Source organism: Homo sapiens, chromosome 17 (genome assembly GCF_000001405.40).
Source record: "Homo sapiens chromosome 17, GRCh38.p14 Primary Assembly".
In the NCBI taxonomy this organism is placed as follows: Eukaryota; Metazoa; Chordata; class Mammalia; order Primates; family Hominidae; genus Homo; species Homo sapiens.
Window position 1 is genome coordinate 20,293,022 of NC_000017.11, and position 26,661 is coordinate 20,319,682.

The 26,661-nt window shown below is 44.3% G+C and overlaps 1 protein-coding gene across 25 annotated transcripts in view, besides 1 other annotated feature; it reads left to right on the forward strand.

The window, feature by feature from the left end:
* Positions 1-26,005, forward strand: part of SPECC1 (sperm antigen with calponin homology and coiled-coil domains 1) — a 309,668-nt gene extending 283,663 nt beyond the window's left edge. For 18 of the 25 annotated variants that reach the window (NM_001386083.2, NM_001386078.2, XM_047437065.1 and 15 more), the window contains 3 exons: positions 3,940-4,056; positions 13,002-13,061; positions 20,955-26,005. In NM_001386083.2, the coding sequence (NP_001373012.2) occupies positions 3,940-4,056; positions 13,002-13,061; positions 20,955-21,044 (267 nt within the window). In that variant the 3' untranslated portion in view covers positions 21,045-26,005. Of the gene's footprint in view, positions 1-3,939; positions 4,057-12,979; positions 14,112-20,954 lie in introns of those variants that run through there. The other 7 variants (XM_047437068.1, XM_047437070.1, XM_047437075.1 and 4 more) reach the window with 5 other exon arrangements.
* Positions 22,217-22,717: an enhancer, noted in NCBI's record as "H3K4me1 hESC enhancer chr17:20218551-20219051 (GRCh37/hg19 assembly coordinates)". NCBI's record gives its function as "activates a minimal SCP1, AML or CMV promoter by ChIP-STARR-seq in primed H9 embryonic stem cells {active_cell/tissue: H9 hESC(primed)}" and the evidence as "EXISTENCE:reporter gene assay evidence [ECO:0000049][PMID:30033119]".

Genomic DNA, 26,661 nt, shown 5'->3' on the forward strand with positions numbered 1-26,661 from the left:
GGAAGATAGGGACAGATTCTTTGTATCTATGTCATTCAGGTAAACCCTACATGTGACATGTGACACCATCTCTTTTGACCTCAGTTTCAAATGAGATATTTGACCAACCTTATTGCTAAGGGTCAGGCTAGCTTGAAATAACCCTCAAGAAATCTAGATAAAAACCTAAATGAGATTATAGGCTTTTTTTTTTTGCCTAAGATTATTTGCTTCCAGAACCCTAAGGAAACTTCACAGGAAACATGGTACCATATTTTAGTACACATCTCCATCCTATGCATGTTCTCCAGAACCTCTTCACACACACTTTGAGGAGAGTTCCATCAAACCTCCTTCTCTTATTCCATCTTAATGTCATGCATTATTTCTCTTCATCCTGCCTCTCCTTTTCAGTTACAAATTGATTCTGATAGAAACACCCTAAATGACCTTCCCAGGGCAGTCAGAGAGTTAACTTGTTGTAGGGTTGCATTTGGCCATCTGGGCAGAGGGAGGAAACAGTGGTCAGTGTCCACCCTGTGGGAGGGAGGCAGCACCCACCACAGCTTTCCAACTTTGCTGGCTTCACATTTCCCAGGACAGGGCAAGAAGAGGAAGAGCTCCTCAGTGGCTGTGGGGAGAGTGCAGGAAGGAGCCCTAGACTTGCCCATTTCTTCTTGTCCCAAAACCCAACACAGACCTAAAACTCAGCCAAGCCCAAGCTATGCCCCGCTTCTGCAATCTCTTGCAAGGCCCCTGCTTAAACAACCTGAGCTCCCAGCTTTAGTAGGCTTGGGAACTTGATGCTTCATTTGGGACAAACTTTGTGGATCCAGGGAAGAAAACCTTGTTGGGGTGAGCAGGTGGCCGACAGGACTGAGGATCTAAGAGGTGGGGATGCACTGGAGTCCCCAGCTGGCCTAGGGGACCGGTACAGGAGTCTTCAGAAGCCACCATCTCGATGGGCAGGGACTTAGAATTGAATTTTTTTTGTTTTTGTTTTTTTTGAGACAGAATGTCACCTAGGCTGGAGTGCAGTGGTGCAATCTCAGCTCACTGCAACCTCTGCCTTCCAGGTTCAAGGCATTTGCCTGCCTCAGCCTCCCAAGTAGCTGGGATTACAGGTGCCCACCACCACACCTGGCTCATTTTTGTATTTTTAGTAGAGACGGGGTTTAACCATGTTGGCTAAGCTGGTCTCAAACTCTTGACCTCAGGTGATCCACTTGCCTCGGCCTTCCAAAGTGTTGGGAATAGAGGCGTGAGCCACCATGCCCAGCTAGAGTTGGATTTTAGTTTCCTTATCACTGTGTACCAAGCAGCTGCTGGGGGCTGCACCCATCCCGATGGAGGAGCTTCTTTCTCCCCATGCAGCCTCATGCTCCCTGCTTGTTTGGTGTGCTGACGGGGCTGCTGAACAGGACGGGTTTTCTTTTCCCCCTGAGAAGCCTCCTACATTGTGGGGAGAAGAGTGTGGTAGGAAGAGCAATCCAGAGACAGTCTTGTAGGTCTTTAAGACCTTCTCATCTTGGTCTGCTTGTTGCGAATTGGGGTTATACAGAGATGGTGATGGTGGTAGTGATGACGGTGGTGGGGATGATGGTCATGGTTATGAAGGTAATGACGACGGTGGTGGGGATGATGGTCATGGTTATGAAGGTACTGATGATGGTGGTGGGGATGATGGTCATGGTTATGAAGGTACTGATGATGGTGGTGGTGGTAGTGATTCCTCCTTGACCAAATAAGTCTGGGAAATGCTGGCATGTACAAAACTAATCAGGTGGGTTAATTTGAGAATAAGATATCTTTGAGCCTTTAATGACTCTCCTGAGGGATGGACAGAAATCCTCTACTGTTTTGAGCACTGAAGGCTTTTCCTCAATACTATTCTGTGAATGGATTTGGGCAACACCAGGCCATTCCTGGTACCAAAACAAAATGTACTCTGAGCAAATTTGGGAAGTTTATTCTTATGTTGCCTTACTGAAAAATCCAAAGGTAGATTCCCATCTATTATTATTATTATTATTATTATACTTTAAGTTCTGGGGTACATGTGCACAATGTGCAGGTTTGTTACATAAGTATACATGTGCCATGTTGGTGTCCTGCACCCATTAACTCATCATTTACATTAGGTATATCTCCTAATGCTATCCCTCCCCCCTCCCCCCACCCCATGACAGGCCCCGGTGTGTGTTGTTCCCTACCCTGTGGCCAAGTGTTCTCATTGTTTAGTTCCCACCTATGAGTGAGAACATGCAGTGTTTGGTTTTCTGTCCTTGTGATAGTTTACTCAGTATGATGGTTTCCAGCTTCATCCATGTCCCTACAAAGGACATGAACTCATCCTTTTTATGGCTGTATAGTATTCGATGGTGTACATGTGCCACATTTTCTTAATCCAGTCTATCATTGATGGACATTTGGGTTGGTTCCAGGTCTTTGCTATAGTGATTAGTGCCGCAATAAACATATGTGTGCATGTGTCTTTATAGCAGCGTGATTTATAATCTTTTGGATATATGCCCAGTAATGGGATGGCTGGGTCAAATGGTATTTCTAGTTCTAGATCCTTGAGGAATCACCACACTGTCTTCCACAATGGTTGAACTAGTTTACAGTCCCACCAACAGTGTAAAAGTGTTCCTATTTCTCAACATCTTCTCCAGCACCTGTTATTTCCTGACTTTTTAATGATCACCATTCTAACTGGTGTGAGATGGTATCTCATTGAGGTTTTGATTTGCATTTCTCTGATGGCCAGTGATGATGAGCATTGTTTCATGTGTCTGTTGGCAGCATAAATGTCTTCTTTTGAGCAGTTTCTGTTCATATCCTTTGCCCACTTTTTGATGGGGTTGTTTGATTTTTTCTTGTAAATTTGTTTAAGTTCTTTGTAGGTTCTGGATATTAGCCCTTTGCCAGATGGGTAGATTATAAAAATTTTCTCCCATTCTGTAGGTTGCCTGTTCACTCTGATGGCAGTTTCTTTTGCTGTGCAGAAACTCTTTAGTTTAATTAGATCTCATTTGTCTATTTTGGCTTTTGTTGCCATTGCTTTTGGTGTTTTAGACATGAAGTCCTTGCCCATGCCTATGTCCTGAATGGTATTGCCTAGGTTTTCTTCTAGGGTTTTTATGGTTTTAGGTCTAACATTTAAGTCTTTAATCCATCTTGAATTAATTTTTGTCTAAGGTGTAAGGAAGGGATCCAGTTTCAGCTTTCTACATATGGCTAGCCAGTTTTCCCAGCACCATTTATTAAATAGGGAATCCTTTCCCCGTTGCTTGTTTTTGTCAGGTTTGTCAAAGATCAGATGGTTGTAGATGTGTGGTATTATTTCCGAGGGCTCTATGCTGTTCCATTGGTCTACATCTCTGTTTTGGTACCAGTACCATGCTGTTTTGGTTGCTGTAGCCTTGGAGTATAGTTTGAAGTCAGGTAGCGTGATGCCTCCAGCTTTGTGCTTTTTGCTTAGGATTGTCTTGGCAATGCAGGCTCATTTTTGGTTCCATATGAACTTTAAAGTAGTTTTTTCCAATTCTGTGAAGAAAGTCATTGGTAGCTTGATGGGGATGGCATTGAATCTATAAATTACCTTGGGTAGTATGGCCATTTTCATGATATTGATTCTTCCTATCCATGAGCATGGAATGTTCTTCCATTTGTTTGTGTCCTCTTTTATTTCGTTGAGCAGTTGTTTGTAGTTCTCCTTGAAGAGGTCCTTCACATCCCTTGTAAGTTGGATTCCTAGGTATTTTACTCTCTTTGTAGCATTTGTGAATGAGAGTTCACTCGTGAATTCGGCTCTCTGTCTGTTATTGGTGTATAGGAATGCTTGTGATTTTTGCACATTGATTTTGTGTAGATTCCCATCTTATCACAATCTTCCTCATCTGTGATACTGCACAGTTTGCAATAGTTCTTGTTTATTACTACTTTTCTCTCCTGCAGAACATTGACATCACCAATTTCAGCAGCAGCTGGAGCGATGGCCTGGCCTTCTGTGCTCTGCTCCACACCTACCTGCCTGCCCACATCCCCTACCAGGAGCTGAATAGTCAGGAGAAAGTAAGTCATGGCCCTGTCACCTTGGTTATCCTCTAAGAAATGCAGGAGTCCTAATTGATAAACCCCACTGTGGGAGGGGGCTTACAGGCCTGAAGTAGAAGTTGGGATATTGATACCAGGTACAGATAACTCCTGAATGTTTGACTGCACCGTGGAATCCCATCCTCAGCAAATCTTCCTCAGTTTCCCTTCTCAGGAATCTCAGCTTCATGGTTTCAAGACCTTGGCCAGCATTTTTCAAAGCCTATTCCAAAGAACCAGCAAGCACCAACAAAAAGAATTCCCTGTTCAAATAAGTCTTGGACACTGTATATTGCATCACATTTTCAGAGAGCATGGTGCCTGTTAACACATTAAAGACTTCAAGAAGTCCTACATTAAGAAATCTATGTGACTGTTTAACACAGCATAGATCAGATCCACTTAACCTCTTTACTTATATTTGTTTGTTTTACTACAATCACACAACAAGGGTTGGCAAATTTTCCCTGTTAAGGGCCACGTAATAGACTCAGTGGGTCAGGTGGTCCAGTCACAACTGTTCAACTCTACCATCGGGCTAAAGAGGCCATTGATCACTTTGTAAATGAATGTGCATGGCTGTGTCCCAACAAACCTTTATTTACAAAAACAGGCTATGAGCCAGATTTGGGACAGCAGTTTGCCAACCCCTGACCTAGAACCTCCTACAAAATGTCCCACAGAGCATACTTTGGAAAATACTGTGCTGGGTCCCGCTGTTGGTCACTCAAGAATTTCTTGTCAAGCATCGGGCACTATCATAAGAAAACAGGCAACAATAGAGACGTTCTATGCCCTCATGAGCTAGACAGATAATAAGCAAGCGAGTAGACTTATAACAAGTAAAATTATAAATTAGCAAGGATAAGTGGTCTAAGAGCCCAGAGAGAAACTCAGTGCTGTGAGACAGAGTGACGGGGATCACATTTAGACCAGGGAGACTGCAGCGGTGATGTCAGAACTGGTGTTGGGGCTGGGCATAGTGGCTCCCGCCTGTAATCCCAGTACTTTGGGAGGCCGAAGCGGGTGGATCACTTGAGTTCAGGAGTTCAAGACCAGCCTGCCCAACATGGTGAAACTCCATCTCTACTAAAAATACAAAAATTAGCTGGGCATGGTGGTGCACACCTGTAATCCCAGCTACTTGGGAGGCTGAGGCAGGAGAATTGCTTGAACCTGGGAGGCAGATCGCACCACTGCACTTCAGCCTGGGCAACAGAGCAAGACTCCTCAAAAAAAAAAAGAAAAACAAACTGGCATTGGAAGGTAGAGGAGGCAGCAGTGCAGAGCCAGGGCTATGGAGCAGCAGCAGCTGGGGAACACCTTGGTGTTGTCCAGGCCGTGGAAGAAGGCTGGTTGGCTGGATGCAGTTAGTGGGGCCAGAGAGGCTGTGCTGATCCAGGGAAGTGGAGGGGGCAGACCCCCATAGCTGGGCTGATCTGGGGAGTCTGGGGCGGGAGAGGCGACAGAGCTTCCCCACAGCTCTGGTTTGGCCTCACCCACTAACCATGAGGGTGGTAGCAACGCAGACGGAAAGACATAGAAGGATTTGAAATATGTCTCAGACAGAATCAACTGGATTTAGTGACAGATTGGTTGTAGGGGAGGAGGAGAGGAAGGAGTCAAAGATGACGCCCTGGTGTCTAGTTTGAAAGGGCCATTTTCTGAGATGGGGAGGGCATAGATATGTTTAAAAGCTCTGTTTCGATTATCCCACATCAGGATTTAAATAAAGTACAAAGAAGGATCATAGCAATGACAAAAACTGAGCAAAGTAATTTAATTTTTAAGGTGTTAGAATTCTCCAAAAAAGCAGAACCAAAAGAGAGAGAGAGAGAGAGAGAGAGAGAGTGTGTGTGTGTGTGTGTGTGTGTATGTAGAGAGAGAGAGAGAGAGAGGTGGGGGCTGGGGAGAGAGATTTATTCTAAGGAACTAGCTCGAGATTATAGAAGCTAGCAAGTCCAGCATCTGCAGGGTAAGCCAGCAGGCTGGAGACTCAGGGAAGAGCTGATACTACAGTCCCAATGTGAAGGCCATTTGCTGGTGGAATTCCCTCTTCTTCAGTGAGGTTAGCCTTTTCTTTTAAGGCCTTCACCTGATTAGATGAGGCCCACCCACACTAACTGGGGTCATTTGCTTTGCCGAAAGTCTCCTGCTTTAAATGTTAAACTTGGGCCATGTGTGGGGGCTCATACTTGTAATCCCAGCACTTTGGGCGGCTGAGACAGGAGGATCACTTGAGCCCAGGAGTTTAAGACCAGCCTAGGCAACATAGGCAGACCTCCATTTCTACAAAAAAAATTTTTTTTCAATTAGCTGAGCTTGGTGGCGCACATCTGAGATCCCAGCTACTCAGGAGGCTGAGGTGGGAGAATCACTTGACTCTGGGAGTTTGAGGCTGTAGCAAGCCATGATTGTACCACTGCTCTCCAGCCTGGGTGACAGAGACCCTGTCTCAAAAAAAAAAAAAAAAAAAAAAAAGAAAAGAAAAAAAACCTTCACAGAAACATCTAGAATAATATTTGGCCAAGTATCTGGGTGCCATGCCTATCCAAGTTAACACATGCAATTAACCATCACAGAATGTATTAAAATATTTAAATTACTTTTCTGTGGGGTGCTTTGTTTGTGAAGCAGGCTGTACAGGATTATTAAACATTCTGGGGGAAAGATTGTATTTAAATCATGTGAAGTCTGAGGGGCTGTGAAATATGCAGGTGGTGATGGCAGGCAGGCGATTGCACAGCAAATCCGGAGCTGGATGGGAGAGCAGAGCTTGAAACACAGATCTGGGGGTCGTCCATGAAGAGATCCATGCTGTCTAATGCAGGTTCCTGGGATGATGGGAATGTTGTGTATCTGCACTGCCCACAGGGCAACCACCAACCACACCTGCTTTTGAGCACTTGAAATGTGGCAGATGTGACTGAAGACTGAATTTTTAATTTCAATTTTCATGTTAAATAACCACATCATGTGTGGCTGCCATGTTGGACAGCATGGGCACAAATGGAATTTAAAGCCATTAAGAGTGGAGGAGAGCACCCAGTCCCTTGGTCTTAGGGAAGCATACAGAGGGAGGACCGAGGAACACACCTGGGAACCCCAGTGTTTGTTGTGGAGGTAGAGGAGGAGGACACAGCAAAGGGGACCAGGAAGGAGCAGCCAGAGAGGTGGCCTGAGCTGGGGCCACAGGCTTCAGCGGCCTCACGGGTCACAGGTGTCATCTATGCATTTATTCCCTCCCTGCCCTCTTGATGTCTTAGTGTCTGCTTTTCTGATACGATGTTGGAGAGATAACTGAGGAAATAGTGGGCATAAAAGCACTGAAAATAGTCAGAAGGCCTTTCTAACACTGTGCTGGGTGAAGCCCACACATGCACACACCTACGTCCTCCTGACAGTGTGTGTGCGTCACTCCCTGCAGTCATCCAGACAGACTGGCTGCTTTGTCCTTGAATCAGCATGGCTGTATTGGAAAATTATGGACCTAAAAGTGTTTGTTCTCAGGCTCCAAATTGTGAGCCTTGCCTCCTGGGCCAGAGCCCCTGTGTCTGGCCCTAGTCTCTGCGATTCTGAGCGCAGAGGCTCCGCCAGCTGCCCAGGCCTCCCGCAGCCGTGGCAGCATGCAGTGGGGGCAGGCTGAGGCCATGGTATAGGCCCCTGCTCCCTACATGCAGGGTTGAATTTCTTCCCCAGACCAATCACCCGACCACCAGGGAGTGTGTAAGGCAGCGTGTGGAAGACTGTGGGTCTGTGATGAGAGTCTGAGTCAGCCCTGGATGTCTGGAATTTTTCATTTTAGGATCTGTTTGGCCTCACAGTAATCTTGAATTGGGTTGTGTCCCAGAGCCTAGGATTTTATTTGCTAATTACAGCCCGTTTGCCACTCTCTGAAGGAACAACCAGCCTCCTGTTTCCTAAATGCCCCATCCTGGCCACACTCTGGAGGAGCCACAGTGGCTGCAGTGACATTTCGCCACTTCTTGGTGTGTGGCTTGCCCTGGGGGATGCTGGCGTTCTTTTTGGTGAGAGAGGCCATATCTATCACAGTTACGGGTGTGGGTTTTCAAAGTAACGTATCCCAACAGGCAGACTCGTACCATATAAAACTGAGCACACGGGGGGAATCTTACTAGAGCAGAGAGGGGAAAGAGCAGGAAAGATTTCCTAAAAGTGTGTTAGAAGCTGGGATTCACAGGGAGCAAGTGGATGTGAATACAGCACATACCTTGGGTCATCAGGATGAGAGGCACATGTGTCCAGCCCCAGCCTGGAGCCGTGTTCCCCTATGTGCTCAGTGCCAGGGCATTTTTTTTTTTTTTTAATTTACACTTACATCAGAAAGGGCACCAAGAGAAGCCTTTAATGTTTGTAAAACTATTAAAATCAAAATCTAAAAAGTATGTGATAGAGTTGTTGATAGCCCAGAATGTATAGAAATTATGAGGTGTCCCCACCTGGATGGAAGCAATTAAACTATGTCTGACATTGGTATTAAGTAGAGAATTTCTGATAAAAACTAACAAGCATGTCTTCTATGATAGTAAAGAGATATATGATCACAGGGTGCGATTTACAGTCCATGAAAGATTTTGTCATTTTGTTGTTGTTGTTGCTGTTTTGAGACAGAGTCTCACTCTGTCACCCAGGCTGGAGCGCAGTGGTACCATCTCAGCTCACTGCAACCTCCGCCTCCCAAGTCCAAGCGATTCTCCTGCCTCAACCTCTCGAGTAGCTGTGACTACAGGCACACGGCACTACACCTGGCTAGTTTTTATATTTTTAGTAGAGATGGGGTTTCATCATGTTGGTCAGGCTGGTCTCAAACTCCTGACTTTAGGTGATCCACCCGCTTGGGCCTCCCAATAGTTCTGGGATTACAGTGGTGAATCACTGTGCCCAGCCATTTTTGTTTTTATTGTTTTCAGTAAAAAGATAGGGCATTCACTTGTCCGCCTTTGCAACTCTCTGCTTAGTCCAGACGGACTCAGGTAGTGGACTGGACCTTGCTTATGTCAGTATCTGAAATGAATGAAGTGTGACCCTGAGAGGGGGAACTCTAGGATTGGCATCTTTCTCCCGTCGGTTTTGAGTGTGAGGCCCAACGGGCCCAACCCCTCAATCCCTGCTGGTGACTAAGAGTTTTGCCACAGGTTGGGCACTTAGGCTGTCCTGGAACTGGAAGGTCCCAGGCCTGCACCATCATCCCCCGACCAGGGCAGACTGAAGCAGTGATGGCGTCACCCTGCCCGGCTCCTGTGGGCTGAGCTGCATCTGAAGCTTACAGCCCGTGGGGGAAGTGAGGCCCTTCGGAGCTGCTGCTTGTCTGTGGCTTCTGCCTCCCAGGTGGCCTCTGCACAGTGGTGGTGACAGTGATCAAATGAAAGAGCATTGGGATAATAACACTTGGTCACAGATGTTCTGCTGCTGCAAAAATGAATAAAAGTTACTGTTGTGAATAAAAAACCACCCCCTCTCTGTATTCTATGTCACCCTGTATACTATTTCAGGGTATTTTGAGACAGTTTTTCATCAAGGGATCCTCCCACCTCAGGCTTCAGAGTAGCTGGGATTACAGGCATGTTGCCACCACGTCTTGCTCCGCTTGTGTTTTCACAACAGATACTGAACATAGAAGAAACAGCATGCAGCACACTGTGAAAACACAGCGGTGCCAGGCGTTGTGGCAACATGCCTGTAATCCCAGCTACTCCAGAGCCTGAGGCTGGGGGATCCCTTGAGCCCAGGATTTTGAGGCTGCAGTAGTGAGCCCATCTAAAAAAAAAAAAAAAAAAAAAAAAAGAGGAAAGAAAACAAGTGGTTTCATTAGAATCAAACTAGAAGGTTTTTGCATAAAACGTTGAGTTTAAAAATGCTTTCTCGTTAGACCTTACTAGTAATCAATACAAATTAAAACAATAAAATATTTTTAGCCTGATACATTTGGCAGAGACAGTACAGGAAAATAGCCACTTATACACTATTGCTGGAGCCAAAAATTGGGGTAACGCTCTAGAAAGCAATGTTTGGCATTACATATTAAAAGCCATAAAATATTTGACTTCTGGAATAATGGTGGCCTAAAAACTGGCTAAAAACCAAAAGGACTGAAGTAAACACAAAGACCTCAATAGCACCAAAATAGGAGATTGCTGCCATTAATTTGGGCTAAATGGAAGGAAGCCAGGAGTTCACAGCTCCCCTCTCAGCAGAACAGAGTAGTGTTAGGGTAACAAGTGTGCAGTTTCCAGCCCATGCCCGCTCCTTTCCTTTAATTTCAAGGAAGGGGCATGGCAGCTTGGGCAGGATCACCACAGATCAACAGCTTTCCAAGGCATGGGCCACAGACTGGAAGAAAATGTGGTGGCTACATCTTTCTGTTTTTTTGGTGACCTGGTGCCTAGAGTTTGCTTCAGTGTCAGGGAAAACCCGTCGCTTCAGGCTCTAGATGTTCAAGCAAGGGTAGAGAGTGAGAGCCGTGGGGGAAATGGAAAAGGGTATAAAATGATGTATGAAATCTAAAATACATAATTATGTATAAAATCTAAACATACAAAATTAAGAAATTTGGACAGGTGCTGTGGCTCACGTCTGTAATCCCAGCAGTTCGGAAGACTTTGACAGGCGGATCACCTGAGGTCAGGAGTTCAAGACCAGCCTGGCCAATGTGGTGAAAACCTGTCTCTACTAAAAATACAAAAATTAGCCAGGCGTGGTAGTGGGCGCGTGTAGTCCCAGCTACTAGGGAGGCTGAGGCAAGGGAACTGGTTGAACCCAAGAGGCAGAGGTGGCAGTGAGCCGAGATCGTGCCACTGCACTCCAGCCTGGGTGACACAGCGAGACTCCATCTCAAAAAAAAAATTAAGAAATTCTACTGAGGAACATAATGGCCAGGTGCCATAGCTCACACCTGTAATCCCAGCACTTTGGGAGGCTGAGGTAGGCAGATCGCTTGAGCCCAGGAGTTCGAAACTAGCCTGGTCAACATGACGAAACCCCTTCTCTACTAAAAATACAAAAAAAAAAAAAAAAAAAAAAAAAAGCCAGGTGTGGTGGTGCATGTCTATAATCTCAGCTACTGAGGTAACTGAGAAACGAGAATCACTTGGACCTGGGAGGCAGAGGTTGCAGTGAGCTGAGCTCAAGCCACTACACTCCAGCCTGGGTGACAGGGCGAGATTCCATCTCAAAAAAAGGAAATTTCACTGAGGAACTTAAAACTGAATATGTAGAGAAACATTTATATCTCAATTATACTTAATATAACAATTTAATTTTAATATAATCCTAATAATTTTGAAATGAATTTTGGAATGGGAGAAGCATGAACAAATGATTCTTAGGTTCATCTAGATGAACAAACATCAGAGAATAGCCAGGAAGAGTCCCCAAAAGAAGCCACACACTAGGGCTGAATGATTGTGGAGCACTACCATTAACATTCTAAGGGGAAATTATTTTCAGCCTCAGATTCCCTGTCCAGCCAGCCTGTTAACTGAACGTGATGGTAGAAAGGAGAAATTTTCATACATCCAGAAAATGTGTCTCCCCATATTCTTTCTTAAGAAGGAACCTAGGCAATAGAATGGGGGTAAAATCCAAAAATCAGTGAGGTTCTGGAGGGCTTGGGGCTGTAGGGTTTCATAGAATGATGAGATGATTAAGAGCTCGAGGCTGTGATAAAGGAGAAGATGAGAAACTGTGCGAGGAAGCCAGGGTCCAACTATGAGGCAGGCCCTCTGTGTCAGAATAGAATGGCGGCAGCCACAAGGAGAATGTTAGGACTTAAAAGCAACAGTCAGAATGGGCAAGAGGCCAGATGAGAAGGAGGCACAAAGCCCCCCTCCCAGTAAGGAAAACCCCAAACAAGCAGAAACTGTAGGAAAAAAACAAACTTTTGAAGAAAGGCAGGGTCCAAATCTGGGGCACACTAAAATGTGGGGTGATTTTGGGCGACTGGTAGAGTAACAGAGGAACTCCTTTAAATGATGCTTTGAGTGGCTCAGGTCATGATGGTGGAGCTGTAGAGGACACGTGCCCACAGCTGGCTTCTGTGATGCCGCTTGTGGTTTTCAGCTTCCAGAATCATTCTAGTCAGAGAGCGCCGAGGACTTAAATGTGCTTCCAGGGAAGGAAGCAAAGGTTCTCAGCTGTGACAATGTACAACTTGACCAGGTGGAGGGAAGAAAGGGTAATTTACTCCTGACATACAAAGTAGAGTCAGGAAGTGTTGTCCATACCCAGTGGGACAAAAAATAGAAGTTCAAGGATATTATTTAAGGTCACAAACATAGCTAATATTAATACGGGCACTAAAATTAGCTATGTGTCTATAGTGTAAGGAGGAGGCAGATGCATGGTGCCTGAGTCCTCATATGTCCTGGAGGAAGTCAGTAGAAAATGCCTTCATTTTAGAAATCAAGTAGTAGTCGTATTAGCATATTACAGAGATACGGAAATAATCCATAACTAAACAGAAATTGAAAGGTAGTTCTCTGAAGGACCAGGATTGAAGGAAGGAACAGGTTTTCATTTGATTTAAATACAATCTATATATACTATAATATATGCATTTATTACTTTGATAATTTTTTTGATATAGCATCATGATTAAGCAACTTTGTTATGCAACAGAATGTTTATGCCATAAATCTTGCAAAGTATGAATTACCTAAATCTTGACAAAGGTAAACAAAAATTTATCTTTGATAGGTGTCAATCAGTAATGTTAGTTTTGGTGCAGTTGCAACCTGTTGATTTTTTTTTTTCTTAAACTGAGATCAAATATTGTACACTTGACTTACTATTCTTCGCTTTATAATAGTGAATAATCTATATGGGAATATCAGTTGATATTCTTTCCTGGCAAAAGCTATATATTTTAAATTACTGATTCCAGTCTCTTTGTCTTTTTAACTTAGAAGAGGAATCTCTTGTTGGCATTTGAAGCGGCTGAAAGTGTAGGCATCAAACCCAGCCTGGTACGTATCCTATTTTGTATCCTTGTGATACTTTAATTGTATGAGAAATGACTTTATGCCATCTGATAAACAGTTTCTCGTAGAACATTGACATCTGTTTGCCGAAAGTCTGTTGCTCTCAATACCTAATATAGAGTTATCCAGTTGATATAATCACATATCAACATATGATTTAGAGATTTTCAATCGCATAAGATTTCATATGGACAAATTTCAGTTCTGGAAACACAGTGGACTGAATTATTATTAGAGCCCTCTTGTTCAGAACACCTAGAAATCTGAATAAAATGCTATGTTAAAAAATATCAACACATAGCTAAGCTCTTAATAAAGAATGGGAAATACCCAGATGCCAGAAATGTAAAACAAAGCAGAAACCAGGCACAACTGAGCCTGCAAAACTCGGCAGGGGTGGGTGGGGGATGGTGGGCCAAGCAAGCAGCAAGCCTGCATAAAGCCAAGGCTCACAACATGCTGATCTTCTTAGTGAAAGCAGAAATCTCTAAAACTCCACCAGCCAGCCCAGGGAGGTGATAAGGAAGCTGGTTTCCACCTGGGATTGTGTGCGCACGTGCGCGCAGAGAGAGGAAAAGGAGAGAGAGAAAAGAGAGAGAGTCTCTTGCAAGGAAAGGAAACAGGGCCAGATGAGGTTTAGAGTCCAAATTTATAATATCTGTGCTGCATGAAGCCCTTAGTATACTCTTAGATGCAGGAAGCCCCTGGGCTGATACTACAATGGCTGCTAAAAAGTAACAGAACACTTGAGAAAATGATCTACTTGAGCTAGTCAGCAGATATAGCAAACAAAAGGATTATCTACCAGAACTTGAGATGATAAATAAGAGACTACCAAAAGACTATTTAAACATGAAAGAGATAAAAGGAGGAATAGAAACCACAAGGAAAGAATGATTCTATTTAAAAAAGAGATTTGTAAAAAGAATCTAACACTTCTAGAAATGAAAAATTGGAATTAAGACCACAATATGTGTTGCCAAACTCATTAGATACAGCAGAAGAGAGAAATACTAAATTGGAAAATAAATACAGGGAGATCACCCAAAATATAAAAGAGACATTAAAAAATATAAAATATAATGGTAAGGTTGAATTAGTATGTGTTCAGCTTCAAGAAATGGAAAACCCAACCAGCAGTTGCTTAAACCATAAAAATGTTAATTTTCTTAACAATAGTAGTTTTAGAACTGGTTCACCACTCAGTATTGTAATCAAAGCCCCAGAGTGTCTCCTCTCCATTCTCACCATCTTTAATCTGTTCCTTTTGTCCCCATGCTTGTTCTTTGTGGTTGAAGGTGGCTGCCAAACTTCAGACATCACTTCCACCTACAGGGCAGGAAGAAGGGGAAGAGAGAGAGCAAGTGCCTCCTATCTTTCCCTTTAAAGAATGAAAGTGAAAGGCTCCCTGGGTTTCTCCAGCTCATTGGCAGTACTCTGTTACATGGTCCCCAGCTGCAAGGGCATTTGAGGAAGTGAGCATATGAACAGTTTTCAGTTTCTTTAGTGGGAAGCCTGCGAGGGAGAGAGCTTGGGAATGACTGTTGGGCTATCTAAATAATAGTGTCTGTCTCAGAGTTTAAGAGACAGGGACAAAAAAAATCAGACAATGGCCATGTCCCATGCCCAGAGGGAATTCCAGATGAAAAGGATAGAAAGAATGGAATGGAGACAGTATTTGAAGATATGATGCCTGAAAATTTTCCAGAATGATGAAAGGATAATGAAAGAGTCCACAGATTCTTTATTTATCTCAAGCAGGATGAATAAAACAAAATATCCATCTAGACATATTGTAATGAAACTACAGAAAAAGCAAAGACAGATAATCTATTAAAAATTTCTGCTCACCAGTAATAAAAATACAACCTAGTAGGAAATTATCAAAGACTAGAAGAGAAAATTCACAGATGATGATGATGAATGGTCAATGAGGATTTTTAAAGATGTTCAATCTCATTAGGGATTGGGAAAATCTAAGTTGAAATAAAAATGAGATAACAATTCCAGCTGGGTGCAGTGGCCCACACCTGTAATCCCAGCACTTTGGGAGGCTGAGGTGGGTGGATCACCTGAGGTCAGGAGTTTGAGACCAGCCTGGCCAACATTGTGAAAGCCCGTACCTACTAAAGATACACAAAATTGGCCAGGTGTGGTGGCGGGCACCTGTAATCCCAGCTACTCGGGAGGCTGAGGCAGGAGAATTGCTTGAACCCAGGAGGCAGAGGTTGCAGTGAGCCAAGATTGCACCATTGCACTCCAGCCTGGGTGACAAGAGCGAAACTCCATCTCAAAAAAAAAAAAAAAAAAAAAATTCCATAACCCTCAAAGCATGTGGGGAATCTGAGAAATGAAAAAGTGAATGTACATCTATTGTGAAATCTTACCACCATGAACAGTGCTATGCCAGTGTAATTTTGAAACAGAATGGACAGTTTTCTAGAAAAATACAAGTATGTTTCTTCAAATATTAAATGTAAATATTCCTATGAAACTTAAGAAGACATAAAACTTTAACCATTGAAGAGGTTGAATTTATGCTTTAAAATGTAGTCACACACACAAAGAAAAAATATCCCCATCAGCCCAGATTTTGCTAAATCTTTAAGACGCAGATATCCCTATTGTGTATTTACAAGTCTGGGAAATTTAAAAAGGTGTGAGGAAACTTACACATCTGACCAGGGTGGAGTAGCAGGGATCTCCCTTCAGAAACAACAAAACTAAGGAGTACCAACAGAGAGATCAGGTAAGGATAAAGATACAATGAGACCTTGTTGGAAGATTATATTTTACACAGAATACATTTTTCTTTGTAGTGTTGTAATTAATATTTACTTCTGTTTAAATATAATATCTTTTTCTTAATTTTCATCTAATGTGCTATAGAAGTTAGTGAGCTGGGAAGTGAATGAGGTCATTTTGTTGTCCTAATTGTCAGAGCCAGGGGTTTCATTGGTGTGGATGGTCTGTGAGGAGCTGCTGACACACATGATAATTAATCTCAAAGGCACTTAGGAGTGTTTGTGAGCACTTTCCCGGCTTTTTCCACCAACAAAATAGAAATTTCCTACATTCTTAAATTTGCTTTTCAGTACCTTGATGTGGATTGGAAAATCCAGTATGTTGAATTACACATGACACTTTAAAACTACACCCAGTCAGAAGTGACAGCAGTAATCCCCAAATCTTCAGTCAAGTTCTGTTGTTAGATTATGCCAGGAAAATTGTCTTATATGTTTATATTCAAGTAAATATAAGTTTCTGGGGTATAACATATTAGGATGAGATCTTTATTTTTATAATTTCAACTTTTATTTTAGATTCAAGGAGTACATGTACAGGTTTGTTACATGGGTACACTGGATGATGCTGAGGTTTGGGATATGAGTGATCCTGTCACCCAGATAGGCACATAGTAGCCGATAGTTTTTCAGCCCTTGCCTCCCTCCCTCCTTTCTCCCTCTTGTAGTCCCCAGTGTCTACTGTCCCCATCTTTATGTCCATGACTACCCAATGTTGAGCTCCATTTATAAGTGAGAACATGTCTTATTTGGTTTTCTGTTTGTGCATTAGTTTGCTGAGGATAATGGCCCCTAGCTGAATCCACGCTGCTGCAAAGGACATGATTTTGTTCTTTTTATGGCTGCATAGTATTCCATGGTATATATGTACCACATTTTCTTTATCCAGTCTACTGGTTTTCTTTCTCCTTTTCTTTTTTTTTTTTTTTTTTTTGAGATGGAATTTCGCCTTGTTGCCCAAGATAGAGTGCAATGGTGCAATCTTGGCTCACTGCAACCTCCGACTTCCGGGTTCAAGCAATTCTTCTGCCTCAGCCTCCTGAGTAGCTGGGATTATAGGCACGCACCACCATGCCCAGCTAATTTTTTGTATTTTTTTTAGTAGAAATGGGGTTTCATCATGTTAGCCAGGCTGGTCTCAAACTCCTGACCTCAGGTGATCCACCCACCTCAGCCTCCCAAAGGGCTGGGATTACAGGCATGAGCCACTGTGCCCGGCCCTTTATCCAGTCTACTGTTGATGGACACCTAGGTTGATTTCATGTCTTTGCTATTGTGACTAGCACTGTGATGAACATAAGTGTGCATGTGTTTTTGATAGAACGATTTCTTTTCTTCTGGATATATACCCAGTAATGATATTGCTGAGTCAAATGGTAGTTCTGTTTTAAGTTCTTTGAGAAATCTCCAAAGTGCCTTCCACAGTAACTGAACTAATTTACATTTCCACCAAGAGTGTATTCCCTTTTCTCCACAGCCTTGTCAGCATCTGTTACTTTTTGACGTTCTATCAATAGCCATTCTGACTGGTGTGAGATGATGAGATCTTTAAAAATGAAGCTCTATAGTGTTCCCCAGATATTAGAAAGTGTTCTTTCTCAGCCACCGTGTAAGGAGAGCATCTTAGCCAGCCCAATTACAGATGCAAGCAACTCCCCAGAAAAGGAATTAGGCGAGGGACGATATGTGATGTCACTGTCATAAAAACGGCCAAAACATGTGTCCCCAGGGCTGCTGTGTCTTTACCAGGCCATGTAGTCCATGAGGGCTGTTGCTCACTGAGTGCCAGCATGCCCACCAGGACAGCTGCTGCAGGACTGGGTGCTGGCATGCCCCCGTGGAGGGAGGTCACCATGCAGCAATTCCTGAGGCATGGCTGGGCCTACTCTGCAAGTGTAAACTTAATGAGCTGTGCTTAAATAGCTAATTTGTGCTTGATTGTGTGACAAGCATTTTGTTTTTCATATTTACTGTATGTATTTACCATTTTGGGCATTTTTCATGCAAGGACTTGTTGGACCCTCATGGAGGTCCTGCAAGGTGGATGCACTCTATAAGAGGAAACTGAGGCACATGGCTTATGAGCGGGAAAGGCAAGAGGCAAGGCCAGGCAGGCAGCTCCAGAGCGCATGCCGTCAACCACCCTGACAGCTGTGTCTGCCTTCTGCACATACCTTGTTAGATTTAGACCTTAGTGGGGTTTTTTTTTTTTTTTTTTTGGTGCTATTGTAAATGTTATTGTTTTTCTTATTACAAAATCCAGTTGTTCAATTGGTACATAGGACAGCAATGGACTTTTGTATACTGACCTTGTATCCTGAGACTTAGCTAAACCTGCATGTAAATGCTTTGGGATTTTTCTAAACAATCATATCATCTGCAAATAAAGGCAGTTTTATGTCTCCCTTTCCAATCTGCGTGCCATTTGTTTCTTTTTCATGCCGTTTAGCACTAGCTAGAACTTCCAGTACATTTTTTTTTTGTTTTTGTTTTTGTTTTTGTTTTTGAGATGGAGTCTTGCTCTGTCACCCAGGCCTGGGGTGCAATGGCATGATCTCGGCTCACTGCAACCTCTGCCTCCTGGGTTCAAGTGATTCTCCTGTCTCAGCCTCCTGAGTAACTGGGATTATAGACACCTGTCACCATGCCTGGCTAATTTTTTTGTATTTTTAGTAGAGACGGAGTTTCAACATGTTTGCCAGGCCTGCCTTGAACTCCTGACCTCAGGTGATCCACCCGCCTCGGCCTCCCAAAGTGCTGGGATTACAGTCCAGTACAGTTTTAAATAGGACAGATGAGAAAGGACATCCTTGCCTTGTTCATGATTTTACGGGGGGAATGTTCAGGTCTTTCACCATTAAGTATGATGTCAGCTGTTGGTTTTTTATACATATCCTTTGCTAGGTAAAAGAGGTTCCCTTCTCTTCCTAGTTTGTTGAGAGTTACCACCTATAAAAACTATCTTGATTGTGGAATTTTGTGTAATGCTTTTTCTTCATCTGTTGATTTGATCATATGGTTTTTCTTGTTCAGTTAGTTAATGTGACGAATTACATCAGTTTACAAATGTTGAACCAGCCTTGTGTTCCTGGGATGAACCTCACTTGATCATGATGTATTATACTTTTATAGGTTAATAGATTGTGTATTCATGAGAAATTGGCATGTAGATTTCCTGTAATGTTTATGTCTAGTTTTGGTATCAGGATAATGTTGGGATCCTGGAATGAGTTGGGAATTATTCTCTCCTCTTCCATTTTTTGAAGAGATTGTGTAGAATTGGTATTATTTCTTCCTTAAGTATTTGATAGAATTCACAAGTGAAATCATCTGGGTCTGGTATCTTTTGGAGGGTCTTAACTACTAATTCAAACAAATGTCATGCACTATAAGATTGTTACTAATGCAGCATACTCTGTCTTCTGAAATGTATAACATCTTTTCACAAATTCTCAAATATGTTAACAATGTACTAAATATTTTTAGTTCAGTTATGAAGTTCAAGCATGTAAGATTGTCTGCTCAAAACTGAATATTGATTGGACTTCGGAGTCCTCTCTGAGATTAAAGACACACCCTTTCCATAATACAGAGGAAAGTGTGCAGTGTGCCATCTCTCTTGTGTTTGTAGGTATCCCTTCTTTTCCCAGAGCTCATCTATGTCCAAATTGCATGCCCAATTCTTCATCAGTTCCTTTCTGTAAGTCATGTTAGCAACACTCCTTGGTACGGATTTTAGGTTGCCAGGCCTCAGTCTGTGTGCAGTCATGACTACAGCCAGTGTAGGTAGAAGGAGACATTCTATTCTTGTATTCTGTGAAAGTTTGTTTTTCTTTTAAAATTGTTCTAGGTGTACCTGCACGGAATGTTCTACCAACTCTTCTTCCACTCCTTTCCCATGACTAATGATAGGCTGATAATTTTTTAGCATCACCAGGGAGCAGAATAAGTGAAGTCTGTTCAGATTTTGAATCAGGGGATGAATGGCTCATTAACAGCCTCAGCCAACTCTGTTAACCCCCAGGAACTGATGTGCTAAGTTCAGCCTTACTTTTCCATGGCATCTCTGCTTCTGGCTTTACATCAGGGTCCTTTCCTACTATTCTCTTTTAACCACACAGAATCCAAATTCAATCCCAAAGTTAATTATTAAATATGTCCAGTGGCACAAATTTCAGAAAAGTTTGAGTGCCTGACAGGATGCCCACCCTCTTGCCCCTCCCTTTCTGGCCTGGATGTTATGCATGCTCATTACAAGCTTACTTGCAAAATGAACAAAAATAAATCAGTCAGTAAAAACCAGCAAATTAGCAAAAGTAAAATAAAAATAAGCCAAAAAATCACCAAACTGTATTAAATAACAAACAAACAAAAAAACACATTAAGTAGTAACAATGCTGGTAAAATAAATGGTTGCATTTGAAATTGGTTCAAGGCTTTTGTGATAATCCCACTCAGTAATTTATCTTGAGGGACTAGTTCGACAGAAGGAAACAATACTGCACAAAGATGCTGATTGCAGAGTCTGTGGTGGTCACGAGGTGAGCGTACACTGGATGCCATGTCCCTTGTGGACAGCAGTTTCCCTGGTGAGTGCACATTCACTAGAATGGCAGCCCGCACAGTGGCACAGCAGCACGGGGACCCGGGTGTGAAATGCTCAGCCCACGTAATGGCACAGCCCACGTAATAGCGCGTGCAGTGTGCTGGGAGTCTGGGGAATTAGAGGTGGATTCAAATGTAATTTAGAAACTTGGAAATCATTTTAATAGTGAAATTATGGGTGATTTTTGCTTTTTAAAACTTGTTTAAATGCTGTCATATGGTTAAAAGATAAAAGCAGTGGGAGGTCATGTTTTCCGTTTTTGGAAAGGGACAGTATCTCCTGAATAAGTGGGAGGAAAAGTCCTTTAACTCATCGCTTTCAGCACCACCTGTGCTGGCCTTCACGTTCTGTCTGTGTAAGTGGAGGGTTTCCAGGCAGTGTAAGCCCTAACCTGGACTGAAGTCCTTGAGGGGAAGGGGTCTGTGATGTCCTGCCTTGTGATCTGTCCCCCATTCCCTTCCCCTGCAGGAACTCAGCGAGATGCTGTACACAGACCGGCCCGACTGGCAGAGTGTGATGCAGTACGTGGCCCAAATCTACAAGTACTTTGAGACGTAACCCTGGAGGGCCTGGGGCAGCCACCATTGCCACCTACTGCAGCTTTTCCTGGAAGCGCCTGATTACTGTCCACTGACCCTGCTCTGCCCACCACCCAGCTGCCTAGACTTCAAAGACAGGCTCAATCCAAGTGGACCAACACCCAAATAAGAAACAGAGTGGGTCCCACGATGTACCTGTCTGAAATGCAAATGCAGCTGGACTGTAAATTGGGGACTCTTTGATCTCTTGTGGGATGCTTCTAAAGAGGGCAGCCTCCCTCCTTCCAGACCAAGACCCCACACCCAGGCTTGTTTTGCTGATTATATTGGGTGGCTGAACGAACACATTATCTGCAGAAATTCAGACAAAGAACATCTCCAAATCAGTCTTTTGGTTGCTGTTGTTAAAAATATCCCGGCTTTGCCTTTATGAAACCTTTGCCCTTGGCTGGGTGTGGTAGCTCGTGGCTGTAATCCCAGCACTTTAGGAAGCCAAGGCAGTAGGATCGTTTGAGCCCAGGAGTTCGAGGCTGCAGTGAGCTATGAGCATACCACTGCACTCCAGCCTGTGTGAAAGAGCCAGACCCTGTCTCAAAAAAATGATAAAACCCAAAACTTTGCCCTTGTGAACCCTCCCTTCCCCCCTCCCCCCCCAAAAAAAAACAACAAAACACAAAAAATAAACATTTGTTCCAGGGCAACCTGGAAACGTGCGTGCGCACTCAGCCTTTTGGGGAAAAATGGGAGTTCTAGGTAACAATGTTAACACCTGGAACTTGATTCACTTTTAGCTCTCACCATCCCTTATTTGATTTATTGTAGCAAAAGGAAAGCCTGTGAGAATGCAAGGGAGCCCCTGGCTGCTTTGCTGGAGTCCCTGGGAGGTGCCCCACACCTCTGCCACCAAAGTCTGTGTGCTCCTGAGCAGCTCGCGGCTTTCACAGTAGGGAAACCGCAGTCCTCGTCACCTGCGCCTTTGTCCTCCCATTCGTTTACCCTCCCGTTCACATCCACACAGGCTTGTACCCCACAGAACTTGACAGGAGGTCACATGTGTGAATGGCCTGTGTCTGCTTTACAGGGTTGAGCAGGCTGAGGGTGTGTGCCTCTGGGGATGCTGGGCTGACAGCAAATCCCAACAGTATTTCGGCTCTGGACTGATTTGGCCTTTAGTGCTTCCCCAGGCCTCTTTCATCGGCATGGGAAAAGCCCTTAGGGGTGGGCGGTGAGGGCACATTTATAACTAACAAAGAAGAATGCAGTTGCCCCAGCATCCTACTGGTCACCTTAAGTGGCAGCAGAGCCCTCCCCAGCGGTGCCCCAGTCCCTCAGAAGTGCTCAGTCCGGCCCGAGTGCCCATCTGGTGGCTCTGCCGTGTTCTTCTGGGCGGATCTGTGTGCACTACACAGCGAGTGAGGGCGTGGCTCACACAGTTGTTTGAGGGAAATGGGTAATGCCCATCCCTTGCTGTTTTAAGTGCCAAATAGCGTGTTAGCGCCCCTCCAACAAAGGATCATCCTTCCAGTGAGTCACCGAGAATGACAGTGACTGCCATTACTATTCAAAGTACATCTCTGATTGCTGATCTGAGCCACTGGTTCAGAGCCAGGTTCTAGAGGCTGCAGGTCCAGCCCCTTACCATTCCTGGAGAGGTAGGAGCTCAGTCCCTTCCTCCAAGCCAGACCTTTGCAGAGGTGGCAACTGGGCTGCACGGGTCAGCAGATCCCTGATTCTCAAGCCACCTTGAGACAAGAACTCCGCCCCCCTGTTAGTGCATCCCAGCTGCAGCTCTGCATCAGAACCTACAGTGGACCCTTTTGAAAACACTCTTGGCTGCCCTAGTTGGTTAACTTCAGAATGTCTGGAATGGGACCAGAGATGCAGTTCACATGTTTTGTAAGTTCTTTAGGCGACTGAAGCACAGCTGCTTGGAGAACCACTGAGGGGTGGACACCTTCCCCTGGCAGCCACAAGGCAGGCAGCCTGCGGGAGCTCCTGAGCAGCTGTTGGGCGATGGTCATTACATCACCCATGCCTTTGTATTTAAATGAAACTCGACACATAGAACCAATTCAACCTGAAAGTTACTACTTCTGCTGATTCAGGCACTTGTTTGAAGCATTTTTTTTTTATTAACCCTGTACTTCTTCTTTGCCCACCATTAAAGTGGGGGAAAGTAATATCCCAAGTAGTTGAGTTGAGCTGTTGGTTGTTAGATTTAAGCTGGAATTAGTCCAGGGTTTTATGTGGGGAGGCAGTTGCTGTCTTGGGATACCCGGAGTGGGAGTGGGTGTTTTCTGTGATTGGTTCTGTTTTTTATTTTTACTTATTTATTTTGAGATGGAGTTTCATCCTTATTGCCCAGGCTGGAGGGCAATAGCACCGTCTCAGCTCACTGCAACCTCCGCCGCCCGTGTTTAAGCGATTCTCCTGCCTCAGCCTCCCATGTGGCTGGGATTACAGGTGCCCATCACCACACCCAGCTAATGTTTTTGTATTTTTAGTAAAGAGGGGGTTTCACCATGTTGGCCCGGCTGGTCTCGAACTCCTGATGGCAAGGTGATCTGCCTGCCTCAGCCTCCCAAAGTGCTGGGATTACAGGCATGAGCCACTGAGCCCGGCTGTTTTTTTGTGTTTTTTTTGTTGTTGTTTGTTTGTTTTTTTTTTTGAGACAGAGTCTTGCTCTGTCGCCCAGGCTGGAGTGCCAGTGGCGCGATTTCAGCTCACTCAGGAGTGAGCCACCACACCTGGCCTGTGATTGGCTCTATTTTGAGTGATTACGTGTAAATCATCTAGAACCAGCTCTGAGCAATGGCGTTGCGGTGTCCCTCCCTCCCCGCTGGGGCCATACCAGCCCCTCTCCACTGGGAGCCCAAGTTGCCAATGACTGTGGCCAAACTCCCCCATTTTTGTCTGTATCCTGCTCTCTTTAGGTTAAAAAGAAGGAAAGAAACATGAAAGGCCATGTACAATTTATTTTTACAACTCCAGGAGTTTCCCCGACTACCATTTTTTTTTTTTTTATTTGCCAGTGGTGTGCATGTAGAAGAGGAATGCCATGTCCTGTCCATAGAAATACACATGGTGGTCAGGCATGGTGGCTCATGCCTATAATCCCAGCACTTTGGGAGGCTGAGGTGGGAGGATTGCTTGAGCCCAGGAGTTTGAGACCAGCCTGGGCAACATGGCAAGACCTCTGACTCTATAAAAAAATTTTTTTTTTTTTTTTTTTTTGAGAGAGCGTCTCACTTCTCTGTCACCCAGGCTAGAGTAGTGTGATCTTGGCTTATTACAACTTCCGCCTCCCAGGTTCAAGAGATTCTCCTGCCTTAGCCTCCTAAGTAGCTGGGATTATAGGCACATGCCACCATGCCTGGCATATTTTTGTATTTTTAGTAGAAACAGTTTCACCATGTTGGCCAGGCTGGTCTTGAACTCCTGACCTCAAGTGATAAGCCTGCCTCAACCTCCCAAAGTGCTGGGACTACAGGGGTAAGCCACCGCGCCTGGCCCAAAATTTTGTTTTTTAATTAGCTGGGTACAATGATAGGCACCTGTAATCTCAGCTGCTTGGGAGGCTGAGGTGGGAGCATCACTTGAGCCCAGGAGTTTGAGGCTGCAGTAAGCTGTGTTTGTGCCACTGCACTCTGGCCTGGGCCAAAGAGCAAGACCCTGTCACACACACACACAAAAAAAAGAAATACAGGTGGTGTTTTGGGGAAGGGAAGGTTCTGCTGGGGTCCTGGAACTGTGACTGATGGCCTCAGGAGTCCAGGAATAGGCCTTCTAGCACAGCAGCTAGTAGGGCTCCCCCAAGCCATCCGCTGGCGTGTGGAGGTGCAGGACCTGGGGGAGGCAGTCCCCAACCCAGCTAGGCCAAGGGGTAGGGTTTTTAGGTCTGTTTTTAACAGAGCTCAGAGCACCAGGTGAAGGTGGAAAGTTGGCAGGAAAACAAGGTCAGCATCTTATTTTTTCTATACTCAGCAGAGTGTGCCATTCCCAGTTTCTGTCCTGAGGATTTCAAAGACCACAACAGCCACATTTCTTTCCATCTTCCCTCAGCCAGTAGTCATTTAAAATTCTTCAGTTGTTCTGAAGATCCTTTTTTTAATGTATCATTTTTACATGAAAGACAGCTGCAAAATGCAAGCCCCAGTAGAGTTGGAGAGTTTTTCAAGGTGAGAAGTCGCTGTTCTCTGCATTGAACATGGATTGAATTTTCCTTGTCTGATGGTAACCCATGGCCCCCGCCCTGCGGGGATAACATTCTCAGGAGCTTCTCTTGTCCTAGCCCCTTCTCATTTCAAAAATATTAGTCTTTTATTTTCCTTTTTCATTCAGTTTTTGTTTTACAGCTTTTGTAGAGACCAACCCAAGTAGATGCAGGTGGGTGTTAGATAAAAACACACATCCCCAGGGGACAAGCCATCCAGCGGTGAGGAATCTCTGCCATGTTCTCTTCCCTGCTGCCCACAAACGTTACGGAGACTCCCTTAGCCTCCCCCTCCTCTTCCCCACTGAGGGGCAGCTTGTGGAGATGGAGGACTCGGGCCCATAGATGCAGACCCCCTACCAAATCTAGCAATAGTTCTCACCCTTCCAAAGCTCGAGTGCCATTTTGAGATGACCTACCAATGACATGCAGTAAAGGACATAACCTCACAGCCTTTTTAGAAGCATTTCGAATATCTACAGTTGCCTCAATTCACGGGGCATTTCACTCCTCTGATCCAGGTTAGAATTTTGCTAAATCTGTAGCATCCTGAATAGCACACTAATTTTTTTTTTTAGCACACTAACTTTAACTACATTAGTTGAGTGTAGTTGATACATCTGTGGCCTCGTGTCTATAAAGAGCACACTAGATTGTACCCAGCACTTTTGGATATGACATGCTAATTAGATGTATTTAACTATTCATAGGAAAGTGTATGATAAATGACTGTAATATTTCTAATAAATATATTTTGTTTCTAATTATTTTTTTCTCACTGACATTTATCAATATTTTTTCAAAGTGCCACCCTTAAACTGAGTCTGTTTTCAGACCAGCATCTTCATGCATATATCCTTGTCGGGTCACAGTCTCCACTGCAGCTGCTCTTGCGGGTGGTGCTGGAATTTTCCACAGAGGACTGGGCTCCTGCTGGTTCCTCCGCTGCCCGTGTGCAGCTTTCTTGCTCAGGCCACAGGCTTACGTGAAGATCACCCTTCAAGGCCTACCCAGGACACTGCTGAGCTGTGCAGATGTGCACACGATATGTGCAATGTGTGACTAAATGCCAACTGAGACCCCAGAAACCACTCGCAGGGGGAATTATGCCAAGATTGAGGAGGCAGGGTGAAGATACTTTTTTTCTTTTTCTGGTTTTTTTTTTTTTTTGAGATGGAGTCTAGCCCTGTCGCCAGGCTGGAGTACAGTGGCACGATCTTGACTCACTGCAACCTCCGCCTCCCGGGTTCAAGCGATTCTTTTGTCTCAGCCTCCCGAGTAGCTGGGACTACAGGCACGTGCCACCACGCCCAACTAATTTTTGTATTTTTAGTAGAGAACAAGGGGTCACCATGTTAGCCAGGATGGTCTTGATCTCTTGACCTCATGATCTACCCGCCTCTGCCTCCCAAAGTGCTGGGAT